We start from the raw sequence: 25,783 nt of genomic DNA, 5'->3' as shown, positions 1-25,783 counted from the left end.
AGAGAATGAATATAAAATGCAATGTGCACTACCACATGTCACTAGGCATCCTTTGCAATCTTGAGCCATAAATGTGCCTGATACCTGGGAGCCCTTATTCTCATATGAAATCCAAGTAGAAGAAGCAAGGTTGGAAAACACCATTGCTACAGCAACTGCTTGAGTCAGACCTCGTGCTTTGCCTCTGACAGCCCTTTACAGGCTTGAGATTTTGAAAAACAAAAAAGGAAAGGTCAAGTTTGAGGTGGATTGACTAGAATGCCAAGGCCCCTTCCAGATCTCATATTCCCATAGCCTCTGCTGTAATAATGTAAACTCCCTGCCTCCATCCTGTCTCTTTTTGCCTGTGCAATTTTCTCATCAGCCAGGTGAGATGTGGAAGAGTAATAGAAACACGTTTGAAAAATGAATGTTCCAGAAGTGACTTCAACAATCTAAGAGCCAATTCGAAGTGTCAGTGTTTTTATTTAATCAAAAGAATATGGCCGGGCGTGGTGGCTCATGCCTGTAATCCCAGCACTTTGGGAGGCCGAGGTGGGTGGATCACTTGAGGTCAGGAGTTTGAGACCAGCCTGACCAACATGGTGACACCCTGTCTCTACTAAAAATACAAAAATTTAGCCAGGTGTTGTGGCGGGCACCTGTAATCCCAGCAACTTGGAACGCTGAGGCATGAGAATCACCTGAACCCAGGAGGTGGAGGTTGCAGTGAGCTGAGATTGCGCCACTGAACTCCAGCCTGGGTGACAGAGCCAGACCCTGTCTCAAAAAAAAAAAAAGAAAAAAAAATTAGTTGGGCGTGGTGGTGGGCACCTGTAATCCCAGCTACTCTGGAGGCTGAGGCACGAGAATCGCTTGAACCGGGGAGACGGAGATTGCAGTGAGCCAAGATGGCACCATTGCACTCTAGCCTGGGCGACAGGCAAAACTCTGTCTAAAAAAAAAAAAGAAAGAAATAATTTTATTTCCATGAATGAACCATTTATGTCCAGTGGGCAAATTAGAGAAGGAACTCTCCCCCAATTACACTGAAATGCGCTGCGATCTAATCATGTACAACAAGCTAGAGTAATGAATATCTATGGCAACCATTCTGCCATCACATGGAAGTGTACTCACTGAAAAGTGGGTTTTTTTTTTCAGTAATTAGAAATGCTCTTTATAAATCAGACTATAAATTATAGCTTAGGTGCAGGGAACATTAGCCAGCTCTCTTCCTATACTGCCTTTGGTCTTTGTTCTCCTATGAGCATGGGGCATGAGATGTAAATTTTATAAAAGCTGCATACTTCATGCAACCTTTGTCCCTGTAGTAAAGTATAAAATAATATCACTTATATTATTATCACAAATAATAATGCAAATACTAATCACTTATATGATTATTACATAAGAATGGCCATGTTACTCTTTGGGCCTCAGTTATCTTGTCAGGAAAATGGGAATAATAAGAAACACCTTCTCTGTAGTGAGAAGGTCATATTGTATGAAAGCAATTGAAATCCCTTTCTGTTCTACAACACAATAATTAATAATTCAATGCTAATTATGGACCAATACAGATGTAATTCAGGAGCCCTGATACAAAATTATTAGATCAATTTACTATCATACTAAATAGCATTTAGTGCTGGCAGGGCTGGGTGTGAGCAAAATGCGAAGTACGTGGAATTTATAACAACCATAATAATAATAATAGTAGCTACTATGTATTGAGCGCCCGCTTTTAGGCCCCATGAGAGACAGGATTTTGTTTTATTCATAACTATATCTCCAAAGCCTAAAACAGTGGCAATCCTCAGTAAATACTTGTTGAGTGAAGGAACGAGTAATGGATAAATAAATGAATGCTTTGTATCAGGCAGTGTGCTAATTGCTTTCCAATTACTTCGAGGTATATGTATTTTCTACTCTGTGCCCGGTGCTGAGGGTACAAAAATGAGTTAGGCATGCTTTGGGCCAAGAGGGATGCCCTATATATGTATCTATCGCTCTATCTTTCTATATTTTTAATCCTGATAGTGTAGGTGTGACACACGAGAAAAATAAGGCTCAGGGAGGGTGTTACTTATCTAAGGACACACAGACAGTAAATGGCAGAACCAGGATTTAACTCTGTTTGCTTGGCCCCATAGCCTCTTTCATTGGGTAACACTGCCTTTCTTCTTTCCTTCTTTTTTTTTCTTTTCTTTTTTTTTTTTTTGAGACAAGGTTTTGCTCTGTTGCCCAGGCTGGAGTGCAATGGTGCAATCTCAGCTCATTGCAGCCTCAAACTCCAGGCTCAAGCAATCCTCCCACCTCTCGAGTAACTGTGACTACAGTCAGGTGCCACCATGCCCAGCTAATTTTTTCTTTATTTTTTGTAGAAACAAGGTTTCACCATGTTGCCTCTGCTGGTCTTGAACTCCTGAGCTCAAGTGATCCGCCCACCTCAGCCTCTCAAAGTGCTGGGATTACAGGCATGAGCCCTTGTGCCTGGCCGTATTTATTTTTTGCTCTTCATACAGAATCCCTGGATGAGGAAATGTTGGGCCTTCGTCTCTTTCTTGAGGAGACTGCAACTTGCCACTTTTCAATCCATCCTATGCCTCCCGCCCCTTCAGATCATTCTTTCCAATGTACTACTTTGATATCTCCCTCTCTGCTTATAAATCTTCAGTGTCGATAGGCTCAAGATGGCACTGTGACCCCAGGATAATGTGCCTCCATTATCTGGCAACTTACTTCATCATAGTCTCCCAGATGAACCTGTACTCACTCAAGATAATGCCTTCACGGGCCTCTGCTGGCCTCCCGTTCCCCACCCTGGCTCTCTGCCTAGGTGGACTCCCCTTCATCCCACAAGGCCTCAAGGGGTTCCTACCATCTCCAGTCTTGTATCCACCAGCCTTGTACTGAGTTTGATGTTTTCCTGGGCAAGTTTTGGGCTTCGGGTATAGTATAAAATGGCTGTTTCATCAAACTGGGACTCAGAGGATTTCAATTTAAATTTCTGAATGTGTTTCCTCATCCATAAATTAGGGAAAATATGACATACTTCACAGATAATACATGTGAAAGCAATTCATAAACTCCACAGTACTAAACCAATATCAGTTATTATTGTGATATTGTCTTCCCATGAAATACTTTTTAACCAAGGAGTATGATGCTTATAAATGTTATAGGAAGATGGATTTGGGGATTCTCCCTCGGTGGATGGATGCAGAGGAGCATTGGAGGCCAGATGATCTGTTAGGAGGGTGGCTCTACAGTCTAGACAAGAGGTAATGGAAGCTGGATAGGGGTTGATGGTTGTGGAATGGAAAGGAGGATGCAATAGATCCAAGTGATTGAGACAGTTAGGCAACTACAGCACTGGGAGCCACTGCACAGGCACAAAAACAAAAGTAGGGTGCTGGGGACCTACAGTTGGTGGTTAAATCTGTAAACACGAAGGAGCTCTCTGAGGGAGAAGGAAAGCTAGAGCAAATTTCAGGCAGTAAAGAAAGAATACTGAAGGGATATATGGAATTGGGAGACAGGAATGAATTTACTCACATCAACTCCTTCCAGGTGGCTGATCCTTTAATTACTGGCACTTCTGTAAAAATGTCCAGAGTGACCAAGAAAGAAACCAGCCTTCATAAAAAAGAGCAAACTGGGATTGTTACCAGTGAAGGGTGTCCAGATTCTTGGTGTCTTGAACAAAGAATTAGACAAAACACACAAACAAAGCAAGGAAAGAATGAAGCAACAAAAGCAGACATTTATTGAAAATGAAAGTACACTCCACAAGGTGGGAGCGGGCCTGAGCTTAAGGGCTCAAGAGCTTAGTTACAGAATTTTCTGGGGTTTAAATACCGTCTAGAAGTTTCCCATTGGCCACTTGGTGTACACCCCATGGAAATGAAGTAATGGCCAGCAATCAGAGGCTGAAGGGGAGTTACAAAGATTACACCCTATGCAAACGTCCATTTGGTTGTGGAAAGCAACCAATCAGAGGCTAAAATAATGTTACAAAGTTACACTTCTATGCAAATGAAGAGTTGGCCCCCAATCAGAGGCTGAAGTGAAGTTACAAAGGTTACACCCTATGCAAAAGTCTGATTTGTTGTGGAACGCAACCGATCAGAGGCTGAAGCAAAGTTACAAAGTTACACTCCTATGCAAATGTCTGATTGGTTTCAAAAAGCAACCAATCAGAGGTACTTTCAATTTTCCATCTGCTACATAGAAAAAAGGAAGGGGACTTGCAAAAGGTGTAGCTTCTGGTCCTTTTGTTACTTAGGTGTGGAAAGTTGGGTTTTTCCTTTTGACTTGGTTCTAGGAAGTCAGAGTGATTCAGCCTTAGGTTCCCTGCTTCCAGACCCTATTCTCCTGTCTCAGGATGACTGGCATACATGCATTGCCTTATATTTGCCAGTGTCTTTCTCCATGTATATATGGGTCCTACCTCCCTAAACAGGCTGTCAGATCCTCAAAGGCATCTATCATTTAAGTTTCTGGAACCTTCACAGAACCAACCTTTGTACAAAGTAAACAGAAGATACTGCTTGGTTGCTTGAAAGACAGGCATGGGGCGAGGGAGGAAAGCTACTGGGTGAAATCTGGGCTGAATCTGTCAAACAAACTTTTAAGAGTTCTGAAGCAGTCACTAACATTTAAAAATCAGGAGGTTTCAAATACAAATGTAGGTCTTTTATTCCCCAGGGAAACTGCCCATCTGGTGAACCTGTACTCTTTTAGGCAATAGGCATGCAAATAAAAATAAAGCCTAAGGCCAGGCGTGGTGGCTCAAGCCTGTAATCCCAGCACTTTGGGAAGCCTAGATGGGCAGATTGCTTGAGTCCAAGAGTTTGAGACCAGCCTGGGCAACATGGCAAAACCCTGTCTCTACAAAAATATAAAAATTAGTGCAGTGGTGTGTACCTGTGATCCCAGCCACTTGGGAGGCTGAGGTGGGACCATTGCTTGAGCCTGGTAGACGGAGGTTGCAGTAAGCCGAGATTGCACCACTGCACTTCAGCCTGGGCAACAGAGCAAGGCTCTGTCTCAAAAATAAATAAATAAATAAATAAATAAATAAATAAAGCAAGGCTAGAAGACATCTTGGAGGCTGGTAGTGGAGGAACTCTCAAAGAAAATGTGGCCTCTGCTAAGGAGCAAGTGTTGTAGTCATTTTATGCAGACAGTGCTTTGGAGGCCTAAAAGGAGGAGGAGGGGCTAGCTCTGCTTGGAGGAATCCAGGAAAGCTTTCCAGAAGATGTGACTTCTCAGCTGAGTCTTGAAGGATGAGTATGAAAGAATTGTCCAGGAAATGGAGGGGAATGAAAGGATAGCATAAGAAGGGGCAGGGTACAGGTAGAGAAATCCATGCAGGACGGAGAATGATGACACATTCTTGTGGGGCCAGAGCACAGGATACAGGATAGGGAAGGGCCAGTAAGAAAGTTGGAAATGTAGCCTGAGCAAAATGGTGACACCCTGTCTCTACAAAATACAAAAAAAAAAAAAAAATTAGCTGGGCATGGTGGCATGTGTCTGTAGTCCCAGCTACTCGGGAGGCTGAGCTGGGAGGATCGCTTGAGCCCAGGAAGGTGGAAGCTATACTCTAGCCTAGGCGACAGAGCCTGCATCAAAAAAAAAAAAAAAGAAAAAAGAAAAAGAAAAAAAGGTGGGGGGGCAGGCACAGTGGTTCGCACCTATAATCCTAACACTTTGGGAAGCCGAGGTGGGAGGATCACTTGAGCCTGGGAGTTCAAGACCAGCCTGGGCAACATGACAAAACGTCTCTACAAAAATCAGCCAGAAGGACATTGTCCAGAAGATGTTGTCAAAGCCTCACTCTGATGGCTGTGTGGGGAATGGGCTGGATACAGGGAAAGACTAGAGGGCTGCAGGCCAACATCTTACCCTAACTAAGGGAGGGAGCTCCCTTCCTTCCTTCTTTTCTTCCCTCCCTTCCCTTCCCCTCCCCTTCCCTCCCCTCCCCTCCCCTCTCCTCTCCTCTCTTCCCTTCTCTCTTTCCTGAAACACGGTCTCATGCTGTCACCCAGGCTGTGGTGCAGTGGCGTGATCACAGTTTACTTCAGCCTCTACCTCCCAGGCTCAAGCAATCCTCCTGCCTCAGCCTCCCAAGTAGCTGGGACCACAGGTGTGCACCACCATGCCTGGATACTTTTTATTTTGTTGTAGAGACAGTCTCACTATGTTGCCTAGGCTGGTCTTGAACTCCTAGGCTCAAGCAATCCCCTTGCCTCGGCCTCCTAACAGATATGAGCCACTGTGTCCAGGCTTGGTTCTTCCCAGCCCCATATTTGGAAATCAGGGTAGCTCCCCAGCAGGCCATGAGAAGTGTCCTCAAAGCTGAGAGAGTAGACCTGGCTCAACCAGTTCTCTTGGATTGGAGGACAGAAGCATGGGAATGCATTCTTTGTTCTCTCTGCCCACCAGCAAATGTACCCTCCCCCTCCCAGTGTCATATCAGGGGAAACTCCTGACCTGGGAAAAACAAGTATACCATTAGTGCATTCTATCTAAGCAAGCCTTTGCACACCGTTTATAAAACTGTAAACTCCTTTTGGCTTATACATCTTCCCTTCCTCTAGGACTGAACATTGTCAGGCACATAGGAGGTGTTCAATGAACATTTATCAATCTAAAACAAAGATACTTCCACAGGACCTTGGCAGTTGTACATTCACTGCTGACAGTAAAAGAGACCCAGAGCACTGTGTTCTCTGACCAACAACAACAACCACAACAAAAATAGCATGGGATTTGGTCAGAGGCCTTAGATTTCAGTCTTGGTTTAGCCACCCAAGAGCTCTGTGGCTGTGGAGAAGCCACAGAACCTTGCTGAGACTTGGTTTGCTTATCAATTAAAAACAAACAAACAAAAAACAAAATATTCTAAGATATGAGGGTGCACCTGGAAGCACTGTGCAAACTTGTAAAGTGCTATATGAACAAAATGTGGTATATCCGTAAATGGAACATTATTCAGTCATAAAAAGGAATGAAGTACTGATACATGTTACCATATGGATGGACCTTGAAAACATGATGCTAAGTGGAAGAAGTCAGACACAAAAGCCCTGTATTGTATGATTCCATTTCTACAAAATGTCTGGAACAGGCAAATCCATAGAGACAAAGCAAATTAGTGGTTTGTAGGGACTGGAAGGAGAAGAGAATGAACTTTGAGTGCTTAATGGGTATGTGGTCTCCTTTTGGAGTGATGAAAATGTTCTGTAACTAGTGGTGATGATTGTACATTATGATTGTACTAAATGCCACTGAAGTGTGCATTTCAAAATGGTTAAAATGATACCAAATTGCGTATGTGTGTGCTTTTTACCACAATTCTAAAAAGCAAAAAAAAAAAAAAGTTATATGACGGTTAATCAGCCTGAGAAGTCATCGATTTTTGCAGTCAACATGCAGTCTCTATTTTTTGGCGTTGAGAGAACTTACAAGGAGTAGGTGCATCTCCACTAAGAAGCCTCTTCTGAAGACAGCAGGGATGGGAGTGGGAGAGGGAAGAAGGAGTTCTGGCCCATCTGAAAAGAAAGCTTCCCTTCTGGATGGTATTTGTTTCGTAGATTGCCAGTTGTTCACCCTGTTTGTATTTAAATGAAAGGAGGCTTTGAAGTGGGAGCCGCCTCTGAGCACGGCTTGGGGTTCCTGCCTCCCTTGGTAAAGTTCAGACTTGTCCAGATCTGTTTGTAGCCAGAGGTTACTGTTTCTGGTGGAAAAGGCTCAAGTTTGGGTTAATAATACATTATGAGGAAGAGCAGGAGTAAACCTGGGGAGGGCGGGGGCGGCGGGGGGGAGCGGCGGCAACGAATGAGTTCCTCCCAGCCTTGGTGTGAGAAGTAGCTTTCTGATTTGGCCTTCATGGTTCAGGAGTATCATTTTCTCTCTTACGGTCACTGGCTTCCATTTTATAATAATGCTCGTTGCATCTCAGAGCATATTCTCCTTGGTGAAGAACATCTTTAAGTAAATGTATCAATCAATGAAAATTAAAAGTGCTCAGCTAAGCCCTAGCAATGCCTTCAGGACTTGATGGTTACCAGTTTAAGGAAAGTCTTGAAAATGGCAGGAAATTCAATTGTAGTTGAGTTTGCACATTAAAAAAATTGCTCTCCTAGTTTCAGAGTTAAATATTCAGCCAGCCCACAGAAATTGGAAGTCACAGTTATAGACGGGTCACAGTCTGTTCATGTTGATAGTCTGTTAACAAAATGTAGAAGAGTCTGCAAGCAGGTATTCAAAATAACAGCTCCTCATAGCCAGCCATGTCAACGTGGTTTACAAACAACAGTGGAGAAAGTCTCAACAAACCCTCTGAGGGTGATAACTGTAATGATGGTTCGTATCTTTGCCCTATGTAATTTTATGGGAATTGAGAGTCTAGCCAAATAATAAGTTCCAGCCCTTTTTATCTGCCCAGTTCCCAGCACACTCCCGAGGTGTCTGAGGCACTTCTCAACCCAACCTCTTAAAGCAGATTGTAACAATAACAACGGTAATGACAAGTTCCCGAGCTGCACAGTTCCCTTCATTTAAGGAGCGCTGGGAGCTTCAAAAAAACACTCATTAATGGAATCTGACAAAGCTTGCAAGATGGGAAGTCTCTCCCATTTCCAGTTTTCTGGTGGAAAAGTGGGGACTGAGTCCCAGAGGGGTGTCAGTCTCTCTCAAGGGGCTTGAGGGGGTAGGGGGTTTGGGAGTCCTGGGCTACCATTATTCCATGAAATTCGAGAGTCAAGAGTCCCGGGTTCTGGACGCCCCCTTCCCCGGCGTGCTATTTACCAAGTCGCTTCCCATTTCTGGGCCCCAGTTCCCTTAATAGAAGGAAGGGTTGGGCCAAATGGTCTCCAAGATCTCTGCGGTCAACCCTGTCTTTGCCCCCTCACCTCGCGGTTGGGGGTTTCTCCCGCTTCAGAGTTCGGTTAGACTTGTAGTAGAACCGGGTCGGGGGTGGGAGTGGCGTCGAGGGGTTGGAGTGTTGCGGATGCGGGAAGGAGGATGCCTGATGGGGTCCTGGACAAACTGGTGTTTCACGAGTACCGTCCTATGGGAAGCAGGTCTGGGGAGACCAGGTGAGGCTCTAGGACGAGCTCGGAGCCCCAAATCCCCCTGCTGCCTGCAGCGAAACAATGCGAGTAATGTGCCTTCCCCGCCCAGCCCGGGAGCTGCGCGGATAGGAGCGTCCGCGGGTGCGGGATGGCAGCGGGGAGGCGGATATCGCGGCGGGAGGGCTCCGCGCGGCTTTTGCCCATAGGCGGCGGGTCAGGTGGCCGCGCGCAAGAAGGCCTGGGGCTCAGACATGGGCTTCGGGACAAGTCCCAGGCCGTCCCGTTCCCCAGAACCTGGGCCCTTCAGCCCGGAGTAGTTGGCCTTCCCTTTGTGGTTGGGGGGCGGTGGGCTGGCTCCCCGCCTCCGAGGAGGAGGGGAGGAAGGAGGAGCCGGGTGGGGCGTGTCACGCGAAGGAGCGCCGGGCGCCCGGTGCGGCCCCCTAGGAAGTGGATTTGGCCGCTCCGGATCCAACCCGGCTTCCAGGTTTTCTCCCGGCCCGGCCCAGCGTGCTCCCGCCTGTCTCCGGCCCCCCCACGACGCCCGCCCCCTCCCCCCGAGTGCCGCCCGCTTGGCCAAGTTTGCGGAGCGTCGCCGCGCACGCCGGCCAGTCAATCAGCGGCAGAGCTGAGAAGGGCACAGCCGCGCGGCGGAGGGCAGAGTCAGCCGAGCCGAGTCCAGCCGGACGAGCGGACCAGCGCAGGGCAGCCCAAGCAGCGCGCAGCGAACGCCCGCCGCCGCCCACACCCTCTGCGGTCCCCGCGGCGCCTGCCACCCTTCCCTCCTTCCCCGCGTCCCCGCCTCGCCGGCCAGTCAGCTTGCCGGGTTCGCTGCCCCGCGAAACCCCGAGGTCACCAGCCCGCGCCTCTGCTTCCCTGGGCCGCGCGCCGCCTCCACGCCCTCCTTCTCCCCTGGCCCGGCGCCTGGCACCGGGGACCGTTGCCTGACGCGAGGCCCAGCTCTACTTTTCGCCCCGCGTCTCCTCCGCCTGCTCGCCTCTTCCACCAACTCCAACTCCTTCTCCCTCCAGCTCCACTCGCTAGTCCCCGACTCCGCCAGCCCTCGGCCCGCTGCCGTAGCGCCGCTTCCCGTCCGGTCCCAAAGGTGGGAACGCGTCCGCCCCGGCCCGCACCATGGCACGGTTCGGCTTGCCCGCGCTTCTCTGCACCCTGGCAGTGCTCAGCGCCGCGCTGCTGGCTGCCGAGCTCAAGTCGAAAAGTTGCTCGGAAGTGCGACGTCTTTACGTGTCCAAAGGCTTCAACAAGAACGATGCCCCCCTCCACGAGATCAACGGTAGGTGGGCACACCCGGGAGGTGGGCGCAGAGACCGACACTTCGGGAAGGGAGGCTGCAACTCCCTTCCCCCGCCCCGCCGCCCCCTGCGCCGGACGCAGGTACACTAGAGGGAGAAATGGGCAGTCGAGAGGGCAGGAGCGAGCGAGCGAGAGAGCCAGGCAGCCCGGGCGCAGGACGTTCCCCGCGGGCGCAGCGCTCCCCCCTTCCCAGCACTGCGAGCGGAGGGGCGCCGCCGGGTTGCCCAGTGCGACTGTCGCGCTCCGCTCCCCGCCTCCGCTCCTCCTCTCCCCCCTGCATTATTCGCCGTCCCGGGAAGCCCCTGAGGACTGTGGCCCTCAAAGTGCGTGTCACCGGCTACTTCTCCTTTTCCGGGTTGAACTCCTTATAGGACGCCCCGCTTTGTTGTATGGGTGAGGAGAGGCCGGGTGGGGGTGGGGGTCGCCAGTGGGGTGTGGTGGAGGGAAACGTCCCGGAGCTTGCTAGATTCTGGGGGTCGCAAAACGTGGAACTTGAATTGATGTTTCATTGATGTTCTTTTAAAACTCTCTCCCCGCCTCTCTTGCACCGCTGACAAGGATTAGGAGTTTTAGTAGCCGCAACCGCTTCAGAAGTCGCCTTTAAAAAGCAAACGACTACCCCCACTCTCCACCCCTCCAAACCCTGACTTTTGGGAACTCTCCTACTTTCCGGAAGGTATCAGACCAGAGGAGTATTTTTCCCCTCTTTCTTTTTTCTTACCTCATTTTAAGGGTTAATTGCACTTTCAATTACAGACCTTTGAAAGGACTGATTACAGGAAACCTGAATCTCAGTTTGGAGATGGTTATGCAAATAGAGACGGCTTAGCCTGTGAGAAAGTTCACCGGATTTTGGCGCCGGTGGGGTGGGATGGGGGGTGTATGGGGGTATTTGTGAAAGCCCCTCTCGGAGCGCTGGGGAGGCAGCGTTCGGCGGGTGCCCTGCGTCCCTCCCAGCGAAGCTGGCGGCGGTGTCCGGCCGGGTCCCCTCCGGGTCGCACTGTCTTCTTAGCAGCGGCCAACTGTTGCGCGCAGCCCCGCCGGCCGCGCAGGTAGCCCGTTCGCCCTGGGGGCTCAGAAAGCACCACGAATCTAGCTGGCTGGTGGCCAGCGTAATCTAACGGAGGAGTGAGAGATTCGAGCCCGGGGGGGGGGCTGAGCCTCCACTCCGAACCTTTCATGGAAGTGAGTGGAGCGCGCCTTTGCCTTGCCGTGCTGGTCTCCGGGTGGGGCGGGCAGGGGGCCGGCAGCCAGCAAAGGAAATACTGTAATTTCAACCAGGCGCTTCCAAAGGCTTAGGAAGATTTGGGGGTCATTTTTTGGAAGGGCTATTAATAACCTTGGAGATTAAGTGCAGTCATCAATTACATATTAATTACAAAGGTAATTGAGGGAAGTTGCTGGGCACTTTTGGAGTGTAACTGGCGTCTGTCTAGAAATAGAAGCGAAGAAATTGTTGGAGCAGCCCAGGCGCCCACTGCACCTTGGCAGTTACCAAATAACATGCTCACTACTGATTAGACACTGTTTGCCCTTCAGCTGCCTGTCTTTTGGGGAGCTCAAGTATGTCCTCAAAGCGGCACGATTTTATTGGTTGTAGAGCCCTGAAAAGCCCTCTTTCTTTCCCTTCCTCCTGCCCCGCCAGAAAAAAAATGAAGTGAACCACCAGCCGCTGAAGCTTGGGGACTCTGCAGGTCAAACCTGGGGTCTTTGTGCCCTGCACAGTTTAGGCCTGGGCACAGCGGAGATGATTGGCGTGAAGGTTACAGTTGTCATTCCCACATTTTGAAGGGGTAGATGCAGCTCTGCACTTAATGGGAATGTGACAAGGTTTCATCTTCTGCTCATGCAAACAATATGTGCCTTTGATATTGACTGCAGGCATTCAGCGAGTGGGGTTGTGAAACTGCCCTCCCCAGTTTCCCCAACTTTGCTCTGTGCAGTCTTTCGCTGTGGCAGGGCATCTTCCCCAGCCAGCATCTCAGGAAAAAGGAAGCTTGAAGGGTGCTCAGAGACTCTGTGCTAGGTGTTCCCTTTGATTGTCATCATCCCCAGAAATCACCTGAGGGATATTTTGCGTATATGTCTATCTGGACATTCCCCCATGCCAAAGATAGGGGAGTTATTAGTGACCAGCAGCAGGAAATGGAAGCTAATGTGCTCACACCCAAAACATTTTATTCTTTTTGTCTTGTCCTTCATCTCCCTCCCTGGGCTGCTGCTTTTATTTCCCCTTTTGAATGACCTACTGGACTGCATTCTCCTGAGGAACAAAGGAAGTGCCTTTTTAGCTGGAATCCTTGGAAGACCACCAAGGACTTTAGCTCATGCAGTGCAATTTCGCACCACTTTCAACAATAACAAAAATGCATGACTGAATGGCTCAAAAATGTGGAGTGTTAGAGGCATTCATTTGAGTCTAGGACACTGTCACAACACAGACAGACCCAAGTAAATACCTTTAGACGGCCAGTATAGAAACAGGCGTAATCTTTACCATCACCCTGGCCTCTCCAGATGCATACATTAGCCTTGTCTTCTCTGAGCTACACTCAGATAATTTTGGTCATTTTTTAAGGGGGATAGTCAATATAGTGACTTGTATTCAGCCTAGGTCTGGATGGATTAATTGCCAGGCACTTTGCCTGGGATGGGGAATGTGCTTTTTTCAGTGCAAAACACCCAGGATCATTTTCCAGGTGAAGTATCACAAAGTCTGGGTACCTAGCTCATTGAGCCCCAGGCTCAGCCCAAGTTTAATGTTTTATTCCAGATGGCCTTGCACTTGCCTTCTAGAGGTTTGAACAGGCTTTAAGAATACTCCATGTTCTGGAGGAGTCTCAGTCTTTATAGATCATAGTTAGGATCATCTGATGTGCTCTCAAGGGTGTCAGGGAGTACATCATGCTGACAGGGCTTCCAACTGAGGTCCTGCATTGCCTGTCTGCTTGACCCCTGTACTTTTCAAATAATGCTGAGTCCAGGTGCCATGATCAAAAGGGATCTTTAACACAAAGATTATGTTTTTGTTCAGCTTTCAATGGCCATGTACTTTTGGAGCGCCCACTATGTGCAGTATCCTCTGCTCAGCATTGTGGAGACAGCAAGAAAGGCAGGAGGGGCTTCTGCCACCAGGACCTTTCCTATTAGTAAGGAGATAAGCCACGCACACACAAAATTAGAATACAACACAGTGGTGATAAGTGCCATACAAGCGATACAGATGACGAGAAGGGAGTGCCCAGGCATTTCAAAGAGAGAAGGGATTTAGGACTCTAATACTATAGAATATTAACTGGGTAAAGCTAGTTCACTAGTAAAAATGAAAATACTAATGAAGATAAGTTTAAAAATCTAACCATTTTCATTATGCCTCCCTCCATAAAGACAAAGGTAAAGGGTATGCAACAATGGGCATTTTATTACTCATCTATGTTGAAATTGTTTTTAAGAGTGAGGCAGTGGGTTAGAAGCATTCATGAACTTGCCAAAGGTCCTCTTCACAATGACATTGAATGATACTCAGAACTTTGTGCCCTAGTTGCAGTTTTGGAGTTTTTATTTCTTGTTCCCTTCTGTGTTCATGAGCAATGCACCTATGATCATGTGCTCACACACACATACATATGTACATGCACAAAGGATTCCAGGACTCCTATAAGCTGTTATGACTACGTGGAAAAAAAGTACGTGTGTATGTGTGTTGGAGAGGTAGCAATACTTTCTAATAGTGAGTTGATTATATATGACACACAGCATGTGTCTTTAAGATTTGTATTCCGCCTTCCCCACCGTAAGTAATGTGTTGGATTTTGCAATGAATCTGTGATCTCCTGTTTTGTTGGAATCATCAATTTGGCTCTGTGTTTCACTTGGGGAGGGTCGAATTGAGCCACAGGGCCTATCACTGTAGAAATTGTCCCAAGTAGTTTACAGGAGGTATCTTCTGGACATGTTCAAAAAAGAATTTAGTTAAAGTTCTGGCTTATGCAGCTCAGTCTCTGGTTAGAACATATAAATATAAAATGTCTGATTCAGCATAATTACTGTTTTCCTTTTTTATTTGATTCACGTTGGGTTGCATGCAATTTCAGGATTAACTGGAGACTAGACTGAGGAATGAAAAAGGAAGTTTTTTGTTATGTGTACAAGGGAAACAACATTGGCGTTAATCTGAGGCAGTTGGAAGTGAGTCTCTCTGGCTCCCCAATGACATTAACTGTTTTAGCACTGAGGTTTTTTTCTTATTTATGTTTTTAAAAATGTATTTTGGCCTCATGATAAGAGTTCGTAGCTATTGAATGCTTTCTCTGGGCCTGGCCCTATACCAAGGAACTTACATGATTGTCTCATTTAAAACCCACAACAACCATATGACATCAGAATTATCATCTCCATTTTATAGACAAGAAAACAAATTCAAAGGGATTATGAAATATGTTCACAATCTTATAGCTAATGAATAACAGAGGTGGGATTTGAACCCAGGTCTTATCTGTTCTAGAGTATAGTTCATGCTATGTTGTACAGATAGTAAGACAAGAAAGTACCTTCTCTATTCCCATAGAGGTTGTTGAGATATAAAGTATGGGAGGACCCTCAGCTAACTAGTAACAGACCATCATCAAAACGGCACAATTTTCGTGTTATAGTGGAGAGGATCCAGTCACATCTTTTGTAGACAAAATGTCAAACCCAGACATAGACAATCTAGTGTTAATGGTAGAAGGAATATAAATTGTATTTCCTGGACAATACAATTGAGCCAATGAGGGTTTCTGAGGGAGGGGAATGTCGTCAGTCAAGCTGTTTTAGGAAGATAACTAGTGGCTCTTTGGGTTAAGGGTTGGCGAGGCAAGAGATAAAGACAGGGAGGTCTGTCAGCAGACTCTTTTTAAATAGTTCTTAACTGGTCTACCTGCCTCTTGTCTGTCCCCCCCTCCTAAATCCCTGTTCTATCCTGAACATCGCCAGCTTAATTTCCTTACATCACTGCTTTGATTAGAGTTATTCCTGTGCTTTGAGCTTCAGTGGCTCCAAGCATCTCAAATGATACTTCTTTCATTGAGTCACTTCTGAACTCTCCAGGGTTATGTGCCCACTTCTTCCTAATTCCCTGTTGGAACCAGTCCATGGTCTTTGTACATAACTGCCTTGTATTATAGTTAACTGTGTGTGCAGGTACGTGTTTGTCTTCTCAACTGGAAGCAACTTGAGGGCAAAGATGACAACTCCTCGTCTTGTCTGTGGGTAGCAGTACCAAGTGTGGTAGGTCAGTGCAATATTTGTTAAACAAGTGGGAGAATAACATAGCCAATTCTATTGTGTTCTCTGTCAGACACTAGTGCTACAATGAGATTATACTGCCTTGATGATAGATTGTCATTCCATGGTCTGTTGATCTCCTAGGAATCTTTTGGATCTAAACACTTTTTTTTTTTTTTTTTTTTTTTTTTTTTTTTTTTAAGGCAGGGTCTCACTGTTGCCCAGACTGGAGTGCAGTGGCGTGATCTTGCCTCATCGCAACCTCTGCCTCCCAGGCTCAAGCAATTCTCCTGCCTCAGCCTCCAGAGTAGCTGGGATTATAGGCATGAGCCACTACCGCCTGGCTAATTTTTTTTTTTTTTTTCCAAGATGAAGTTTCGCTCTGTTGCCCAGGCTGGATTGCAGTCGCGTGATCTCGGCTCACTGCAATCTCCACCTCCTGGGTTCAAAGGATTCTCTTGCCTCAGCCTCCCGAGTAGCTGGGATTATAGGCGTGTGCCACCATACCCGGCTAATTTTTGTATTTTTAGTAGAGACGTGGTTTCACCATGTTGGCCAGGCTGGTCTAGAACTCCTGACCTCAAATGATCCAGCCTCCCAAAGTGCTGGAATTACAGGCATGAACCACCATTCCAGGCCTGTATCTAAACACTTTGAAGTGAAATAAATTTAAAGTAAATATGCATATGTTGGTATAGCTTGGAGAACGTTTTTATTCTTTTGGGGGAGTACTTGTCTTTACCACTTCATTAATAACTGAATGCTTATAGGATTTTTTTTTATTTTTTGAAACAGAGTTTCGCTCTTGTTGCCCAGGCTGGAGTGCAATGGCACGATCTCAGCTCTCCGCAACCTCCGCCTCTGGTTCAAGCCATTCTCCTGCCTCAGCCTCCAGAGTAGCTGGGATTACAGGCATGCACCACCATGCCCGGCTAATTTTGTATTTTTAGTAGAGATGGAGTTTTTCCATGTTAGTCAGGCTGGTCTTGAACTCCTGACCTCAGGTGATCCACCTCGGCCTCCCAAAGTGCTGGGATTACAGGCATGAGCTACTGCACTGGCCAGGAATTTTTCAGAAAGATTCAGAATTGTTTTTCTTAATGCCTTGAGATACACTTCTTTAAAGAATGAACAGTTGAGACTGTTGTGATTAGGCAATTTAGAGCAAATTTACCACATGCAACTGTTCAGTGTGCATCAGTTACCTTTTAACATAAAAAAACTCAAGTTTATTGTCTTTACCAAGAAGAACACAAGCTTTGAAGGGTATCAGAATATTTTATATAAATAAACAGACATACTAAAATACAAACAGGTAAAAACTAGCATTTTCAAATCTACTTGGTTAAACATCTGTTGCTTACTATAGAGAACATGAAAGTGCAGAAAATGCATGAAGCGATTCCATCCTGGAGGTAATTTGAAATATTATGTTTAAGTTCTGATGCATTTAATTCAGCAATCTGGTGGGAGAGAAAAATCAAAGAGCTGCATCAGCCAGGTATTCAACTTTTGAGAAAGAAACTCTAACAAATGTTAGAAATTAGGGGAAAAAACTGAATGGGAGAGTTAAAAAAGTCAATAACCTCCAGGAAGCCTGGAAACTATGTAAAAACATCTTATTGGAAGCCCAGATAAATGTGTGCCAGACATCAAAAAGACCAACTGCTCGGGGGAAGAAAAAAAGAACCCGGCATGACTAACTGGCAGAGTAAAAGAGGCTGCTTCAGGGAAAAAGGCATCTTTCACAAAATACAAAGAGTTTAAGCCAGAAGAGGGAAGTCCACTAGGTTTCACAAGGCCCAGGTACAAACTAGAAATTAAGTGGGCTGACAGAGAATTGAAGTTGAATCTTGCAAGGGATTTGAAAGATGGCATGTGTGATAATAATGGTGAAAAGGGTGGGTTGAGTCCAACCTATCTAGGGAGAAGCAATATGGCTTCTTTAAGGGTAAACCATGCCTGATTGATCTCTCGGGATTCTTTGTGTGGAAAAAAAAGCATGAGGATACAGGGAAGCAGACATACATCATTTAGGTTTTTAAAAATTATGCAATGGGATTCTAAGGCAAAGAATATTCAGAAAATATATTTACTTTGAGATAGGTGGGGATAGTTGGACAGAGAGGGAGAGTGAGGGAGGGAAGAGACTCCACTGTTGTAGATGGAGTAGTTTACATGGAGAAGACATGGCTTGTTAGGATGAGTAGTTCTAGCCTAACTCTGGCAAATTTGTTGTCAAATACCTTTGGTGAGGTTCTTCCCTCTTTGAAAAATGGGGTGAAATTGAACCACCTGGCACCTGAGGAGCTTTTAAAATATACTAATGCCTGGGTACCACCCCATACCAATGAAATAATACTTTTTTCAGGAAGGACTAGGCCATGATGGATGGATGGATGGATGGATGAATGTGTGTGTGTGTGTGTGTATTTTTTTTTTTTGAGATGGAGTCTTGCTCTTGTCACCCAGGCTGGCGTGCAATGGCGTGATCTCAACTTACTACAGCCTCCACTTCCTGGGTTCAAGCGATCCTTCTGCCTCAGCTTCCCGAGTAGCTGGGACTACAGGTGTGTGCTGCCACACCCGGCTGGTTTTTTGTATGTTTAGTAGAGATGGGGATTCACCATGTTGGCCAGGCTGGTCTTGAACTCCTGGCCTCAAGTGATCCACCCACCTTGGCCTCCCAAAGTATTGGTATTACAGGCGTGAGCCACTGTGCCTGGCCCATGGTAGTTTTTTTTAATTTTCTTTTTTTTTTTTTTTTTTTTTTGAGACGAAGTCTTGCTCTGTTGCCAAGGCTGGGTGCAATGGCATGATCTCCACTCACTGCAACCTCCGCCTCCTGGGTTCAAGTGATTCTCCTGCTTCAGCCTCCTGAGTAGCTGGAATTACAGGAGCACACCACCACTCCTGGCTAATTTTTTATATTTTTAGTAGAGACAGGGTTTCACCATGTTGGCCAGGCTGGTCTCGAACTCCTGACCTCGTGATCCGCCCGCCTCGGCCTCCCAAAGTGCTGGGATTACAGGCGTGAGCCAGCATGCCTGGCCTAGGTCCCTTCCATCTCTGAGATTCTATTATTCTAAATTTTCCAATGAGATTCATCACAAAATGTTGTTTGAGATAAAGCCTTTAGTTTAGAATCAGTGCATGGTTGTTTTAATTTTGGCTAACTTGGATTTAAGAGAAAGGTGTGTCAAACATGGAGGAAAATGTTTTCAATCAAGATATAAGTGTGAACCACAACTGAGTGCTGCTTTGCTGCAGGTAGAGACATAAGACAAGCACAATGAGAATACTTTGGAAAGAATTAGAACAGAATCCAGCCTTGCTGTCATTTATTGATTAAGTGTCAACATGCTAGGTGATATTTCTTCCCTTTTTCTTTATTGGTAAAATTAAAATAAATCTCTTTATCCCTTACTTTAATGTCCTCTTTGCCATGTGTTTATTCTCTTCAAGTATCTTATCAAGAAATAGAAGTACAGTAAATCCCTAGGCTTCTAGCTGGTGCAACCATCCAGAACACAGCTGGGAATGTGGAAGTAAGCAGAAAAGCCAAATGATGGAAACAGCTGTCATAAAGCCCATGCATTCTATGTGGAGAAAAGGCCTTCAGAAATTTATTATCAGCAATCATTGAATGGCTCCTGTATCCAGAGCAGTATGCTGGGTGCAGGGGATTCCAAGAGGTGTCAAGCAGGAATCAAGCTTTTGAGGAACTTGCATTCAAATTAGGTAGATAGGGTTTATACGTGAGAAGATAAAATGCTTTGGTTATCCAGTTTCCCAGTCTATGGCAGATTAGAAGTAGCAAATGGTATTGGTTGGGGGCCGATGGGAATCACAGGAAGGGATCGTGTTAGAGGCAGGTAAGACTTGACATCTGGAAGAAGTGAGAGAGGACAGTTGGAGGGTGACCAGAAGCTGAATGGGAGAGCCAGAACTTGCTGATCTTGGCAGTTTGAGATCTCCTAGAATGGGCGAATGCTCAAAGCCACCTTTGTAACCATAATCATCGAGGGCACTAGTATATTTCATTACAGTATTAAATAATGGTGTTTGGCTTATTCTGATTTAAAAGTTCAGAAAGTACATTTTAGAAAGAGTTCCATTACTGGGCACGGTGGCTCACGCCTGTAATCCCAGCACTTTGGGAGGCCAAGGTGGGCGGATCACCTGAGGTTGGGAGACCAGCCTGACCAACATGGAGAAACCCCGTCTCTACTAAAAATGCCAAAATTAGCCAGGCGTGGTGGCACATGCTTGTAATCCCAGCTACTCGGGAGGCTGAGGCAGGAGAATTAGTTGAACCCGGGAGGTGGAGGTTGCAGTGAGCCGAGATTGAGCCATTGCACTCTAGCTTGGGCAACAAGAGTGAAACTCTGTCTCAAAAAAAAAAAAAAAAAAAAAGAGTTCTATTGGAAATATTCAAAATATGAAAACTACCCTTAAGGGGGAAATTTAGTTAACTTACACATTTACCTATCTAGAGCACCCAGTTTCCCAACAGTGCTGGATCAACAAGGAGTCAATCTACGTGTCACTTTGTCTTTTTATTTTAAAAAATGTGTTAAAAATTGTATATTATTAATTCAGTGGCTTTTTCACCTCAGAGCTTGTGGTTTATGATTTTGTTCCTCTGCACCTTTTTTTTTTTTTTTTTGAGACAGGGTCTCACTCTTTTGTCCAGGCTGGAATGCAGTGGCATGATCTCTGCTCACTGCAACCTCTGCCACCCAGGTTCAAGAGATTATCCCTCAGCCTTCCAAGTAGCTGTGATTATAGGCATGCACCACCACGTCCAGCTAATTTGTATATTTTTAGTAGAGATGGGCTTTCACCATGTTGGCCAGGCTGGTCTCGAACTCCTGGCCTTAAGTGATTCTGCCTTGGCCTCCCAAAGTGCTGGGACAGGCGTGAGCCACCACGCCCGGCCCCTCTGCACCTTCTTTTTTTTTTTTTTTTTTTGAGGCAGAGTCTTGCTCTATTGCCCAGGCTGGAGTGCAATGGCGCATTCTCCACTCACTGCAACCTCCGCCTCCCGGGTTCAAGCGATTCTTCTGCCTTAGCTTCCTGAGCAGCTGAGATTACAGGTGTGCCCCACCACGCCTAGCTAATTTTTGTATTTTTTAGTAGAGACGGGGTTTCTCCATGTTGGTCATGCTGGTCTTGAACTCCTGACCTCATGATCCGCCCACCTTGGCCTCCCAAAGTGCTGGGGTTACAGGCGTGAGCCACCACACCTGGCCCCTCTGCACCTTCTTTTGAAAGCCCTCTAGAACATCTAGGTTCAACTTAGTTTCTGATACTGTACTACCTGCTGTGGTCAGTTTAGGGAACTGAGTTTTGACCTGAAGTCAACAACAGTTGGTTCCTCGTTAAGGGTGACACATTTGAATACTGGTTTCCCTTGTAAACATTTACCAAACTAGGTAAATGTATAATCATAAGAAACACTAGAAGTTAAGGATAGTGTCTGACTATGTAGCTATTTGAACCTTAAAAAAAAGCAAAGCTTGGCTGGGCATGGTGGCTCTCGCCTGTAATCCCATCACTTTGGGAGGTCGAGGCAGGCAGATCACTTGAGGCCAGGAGTTCAAGACCAGCCTGGCCAACATGGTGAAACCCCTTCTCGACTAAAAACACAAAAATTAGCTGGGGTGTGGTGGTATGCACCTGTAATCCCAGCTACTCGGGAGGCTGAGGCACAAGGATTGTTTGAACTTGGGAGGCAGAGATTGCAGCAAGCCAAGATCACACCACTACACCCCAGCTTGGGCGACAGAGTGAGACTCTGTCAAAAAAAAAAAAAGGCAGCTCTATGTGCCCTATCATGCCAGATCTGAGAAACCATGTATCCCCAGTTCCTAACATACTGCATGGCATGTGGTAGGTGCTCAGGAACGTTAAGCATGACTTTTTGTTTCTGTACTCATTCCAGGACGAGATATTTTTATTCATATCTGCTGTGCTCTTACTCTATTCTTCTAAAATTCATATGTTGAAATCCTAACCCTCAAGGTGATGGTATTAGGAGGTGGAGTCTCTGGGAGGTAAACCCTCATGAATGTGATTAGTGCCCTTATAAAAGAGGCCCCAGAGAAAACCGTTAACACTTGCGCCACATGAAATTACGGTGAGAAGATGGCCCTCTATGAGGAAGCATGCCCTTACCAGAACCCAATCTACCAGCATCTTGATCTTGGACTTCCTGGCCTCCAGAACTGCAAGCAATAAATTTCTGTTGTTTAGAAGCCACCCAATCTTTGGTATTTTGTTTTAGCAGCCCAAACAGGCTAAGATAACCCTTTTTAAATCTAATTATTTTAAGCTATCTCATTTATTTTTAACTTTTGCATACATTCAGTCCTAGATGCCTAAGTAAGGAAAGGAAAAGGAAAACATGTTTTTTTACCCCTTAACCTAGAGCGTGGTGCTCTTTCTTGGCTTGCTTGGAGGTGGGCGCTTAGTATTTCATGTGGTTTGTTTTAATCCCGGTAGACAAATGGTTGCTACTTCTTACGCTGTCTGTTCCAGACATTAGCAGGAACTTGGCTGTGCCTGCAGAGGTGCTTTTTCTTTCTTTCTTTTTTTTTTTTTTTTTTCCTTTTGAGACGTAGTTTCACTCTTGTTGCCCAGGCTGGAGTGCAATGGCATAATCTCAGCTCACTGCAACCTCTGCCTCCTGGGTTCAAGTGATTCTCCTGCCCCAGCCTCCTGTGCAGCTGGGACTACAGGCACCCGCCACCATGCTCGGCTAATTTTGGTATTTTTAGTAGAGACGGGTTTCACCGTGTTAGCCAGGCTGGTCTCGAACCCCTGACCTCAGGTGATCTGCCTGCCTCGGCCTCCCAAAGTGCTGGGATTACAGGCATGAGCCCCCACACCTGGCCTCAGAGGTGCTTTTAGAAGAGGCTACCTTTGCCCCTTTTTGTTGCATCAGCCTTTCTACTAGGTGCTCACTTCCGTCTTCTTCTCCTGGAGGTTTGGGTCAGGACTTGATCTCTGCATCATCGCAACCATTCTTTTCATGCTAGTCCTTTCTTTGCAAAGCCACTTTGTTAGTTTGGCTTTTGCAGGCCTCTTAAAGCCTGTCTTCTTTCTTCTGTTCACCTTCTGCCTACCAGAGCAGGCTGGAAGTGGTTTCTTTTGGACTGTAGACATTTCCTTAGTTCACCAAACCCTTGACGTCATCATCCCAGCAAGCATTAAGCCACCAGAATATTTTTTTTTCCTTCAGTTATTGTTTCTATTTCACCACACATTTGTCTCCATTGAGTTTTCGGTCTGGTGTTTGGTCAGAGATGAAAACAAAGCACTGTGTCCTTGCAAACTGCAGTGTAAAGCATGTGGTTAGCAGTTACTACTTGCAGTGGTCCAGTCTGAGTGGGAGTATCATTTTTCTTGGCAGTGACTTCACAGAAAGTCCTGTTTTTTGGTGCCAGAGTAAGCAGTCATTACATTCCTTACAATTTATAGTCAAATTATTATCTACTATTGTTTAAATTGCCTTAATTATAGAAGATTTCCCTGTGCTAAGATTTTAAAAAGCAAAATAAGACAACTTTTTACCAATGTACTTTAGAAATGGTCCTTAAACATCACCTGTCACCAGGATGTTGGAGGCTATGGTAAGGATTAGTTCTTTGTGTTTATGGGGAGATTTTTTTTAAAGGGGAGTAGTGAAATGAGTTCACTTTAAACTGAATTTGAATTAAATGCCCCCAGCTGGCTGGTTGGTTAATGTTCTGCCTTGTTGTTTACCCACAGTTTGGAACTAACTTTTCTTTCTGCCCTCTCAGATCTGATGGGCCTGGACACATTCTGGGAGGCTCTTCTGGTATGAGGTCAATGGATTATTAAGCAGTGAGGCAGTCTTAGAAGATGTTCGTGTATTCTTTAGGTTGGAGAGCAAATGATGAAATAACAACCTTCCACAATAAGGGACTGCATCAATTTTCTTGTAATCTGAATAAAGATTTAGGTGACTGGATGGGATATGTTTCAGCTTAGCTAATGTTTCATAATCTCTACCTTTGGGCTCTGCTTTCAAGATATATGTAAAATTTGTCATCTTACCATCTCAGTGACTACTATCCTGGTCTCACCCCTCATTACCTCTTGCCTGGATTATTGCAGTCGCCCATATCAGTTCCCCTGCTCTAGCTCTCTGGCTCTGGCTCTCCCCAGCCTGTGTTCTCAGCATAGCAACCAGTGTGATGGTATTCTCTTAAACTTAGATCGTATCACTCCTTTGCTCAGAATGCTCCAATGGTTCCCCATGCCAGCTAGAGTGAAAATCAAGGCTTATGAGCACATCTGCCTTCTCCTGTGCCAGCCCACGAGGTCTTCTCTTCTCAGGCTTTATCTTTATCCAGGTCCCATCCCACTCTAGCCATGTTGGTCTCTCTGTTTTCCTTCAAGCACACCAGGCACGTTCAGGGGCCTTTGCACTTCTTATTTTCAGTGCCTTGAACACCCTGCTGCCAGATAGCAGCATGGTTCACTCCCTCACATGTTTCAGGGCTTTGATTACCTATCACCTTAATAGAGAAGCTTTTCCTGGTCTCTGTATAAAATAGGATACTCCCACCCCCCCACCCCCTGCAGACACACACATATATTCATATACTTCGTCCTTCTTCCTCTCTGCTTTCTTCTTCTTAGTTATCACCACCTGACCTGTGGGCAGGGGCTTTGCCTCTTTTATTCACTGCCCTATACCCAATGCCTACCACATTGGCTAATACTCAAAAATGTTTGTTGAATGAATACATGAATGAGTACTCCTTGCAAATAGGTTGCTCTTAGGAAAAAAGCTTTCAGAGGGCATAGTTGACTCTTTAGGACTTGTGAATATGAGATTATACATATGAACTCCCATCTGTAGAAAGGGGGTGCCTAAACTGGATTCATTCATTCAGCAGATATTTAGCAAGTGCCTATTAATTGCTAGGCGCTGGGGATAGAACAGTGAATAAAAAGGATACAAGCCAGGTCTCACACTTATGGAGCTCACAGTCTAAATGGTGAGGCAGACATTGATTCAATAATTCTGAAAATTGGTAATTAGTTACAGTTGTGATAACTACTTCCAAGGAAAAGCCCTTGGTCTTGGATGTGGGGTAAGGGAATGGCAATCAGGGCAAAGCATAGTTTTCTTGAACATTATGGGCCTATAAGGCCTTCTCATTTTCTAGGAGTAGTGCTTTTTACATCATCACAAGCTCCCGCCCCCAGTGAATGGCCAGGGTTTGTGTTTCTGGCAGTGGATCCTGAGATGAGTCCTAGAGCACTTGTGCAGTAGTGCAGGGAAGATAGGCCCGAGTTATCTTGGCTTACATGGAACACTTTCTCTGGTTGCATATTGTGAACAAAAGTTCTCTGAAAAGGAATTTGGAGGAAAAAGACTTCATTCCAGTGAACAGTTTGTAAACTGGGGAGACACATCCTTCAGTGTAAAACAAAAGTGCACATTCCAGAGACCAAAGAGAGGATTCTGGTTTCTGGTTGTTTTTGTTTTGGGACAGAGTCTTGCTCTGTCGCCCAGGCTGGAGTGCAGTGGTGTGATCTTGGCTCACTGCAGCCTCTGCCTCCCAGGTTCAAACAATTCTCCCAACTCAGCCTCCCAAGTAGCTGGAACTACAGGTGCACACCACCACTCCCTGCTAATTTTTGTAGAGATGGGGTTTTGCCATGTTGGCCAGGCTGGGCTCAGACTCCTGGCCCCAAGTGATCTGCCCACCTTGGGCTCCCAAAGTGTTGGGATTACAGGCGTGAGCCACCGAGCCTGGCTGGATTCTGGTTTTAGTGCAAAAGTTCCCACCTAGGTTCCTAAGCAAGTGTTATGCAAATGAAAGACTGAAATTTGCTTAATTCCAATTGGTTGACTCAGCTGGGCCCTGATTGGTTGATACAAGTGAGCCCTGATTGGTTGGTACAGGTGAGCTCTGATTGGTTGCTTCAGGGGAGTTCTGAAAGTCCCAAAGTTAAACGGAGGTGGGTGTTTTCAGGAAACTCAGAGGAAGTATGTCACCTTTAGCTAGCAAATGACCACTTGATTCTATTTTAAATTTAGGCCTAGTTAACCACTTGGGATCCACCTTGAAGGATTGGCTCTTTCAGGTTCACAT

The 25,783-nt window shown here is 45.9% G+C and overlaps 1 protein-coding gene across 1 annotated transcript in view, besides 2 other annotated features; it reads left to right on the top strand.

The window, feature by feature from the left end:
* Positions 7,275 to 7,814: an enhancer, noted in NCBI's record as "OCT4-NANOG hESC enhancer chrX:132551379-132551918 (GRCh37/hg19 assembly coordinates)". NCBI's record gives its function as "activates a minimal SCP1, AML or CMV promoter by ChIP-STARR-seq in naive H9 embryonic stem cells {active_cell/tissue: H9 hESC(naive)}" and the evidence as "EXISTENCE:reporter gene assay evidence [ECO:0000049][PMID:30033119]".
* Positions 8,937 to 9,437: an enhancer, noted in NCBI's record as "H3K27ac hESC enhancer chrX:132549756-132550256 (GRCh37/hg19 assembly coordinates)". NCBI's record gives its function as "activates a minimal SCP1, AML or CMV promoter by ChIP-STARR-seq in naive H9 embryonic stem cells {active_cell/tissue: H9 hESC(naive)}" and the evidence as "EXISTENCE:reporter gene assay evidence [ECO:0000049][PMID:30033119]".
* GPC4 (glypican 4) overlaps positions 9,676 to 25,783 on the top strand; it is a 115,387-nt gene continuing 99,279 nt past the window's right edge. The window contains exon 1 of the mRNA NM_001448.3: positions 9,676 to 10,359. Within this exon, the coding sequence (NP_001439.2) occupies positions 10,200 to 10,359 (160 nt within the window). The 5' untranslated portion in view covers positions 9,676 to 10,199. The remainder of the gene's footprint in view (positions 10,360 to 25,783) is intronic.

Source organism: Homo sapiens, chromosome X, assembly GCF_000001405.40.
Source record: "Homo sapiens chromosome X, GRCh38.p14 Primary Assembly".
In the NCBI taxonomy this organism is placed as follows: Eukaryota; Metazoa; Chordata; class Mammalia; order Primates; family Hominidae; genus Homo; species Homo sapiens.
This window is presented reverse-complemented; position numbering and strand designations above follow the sequence as displayed.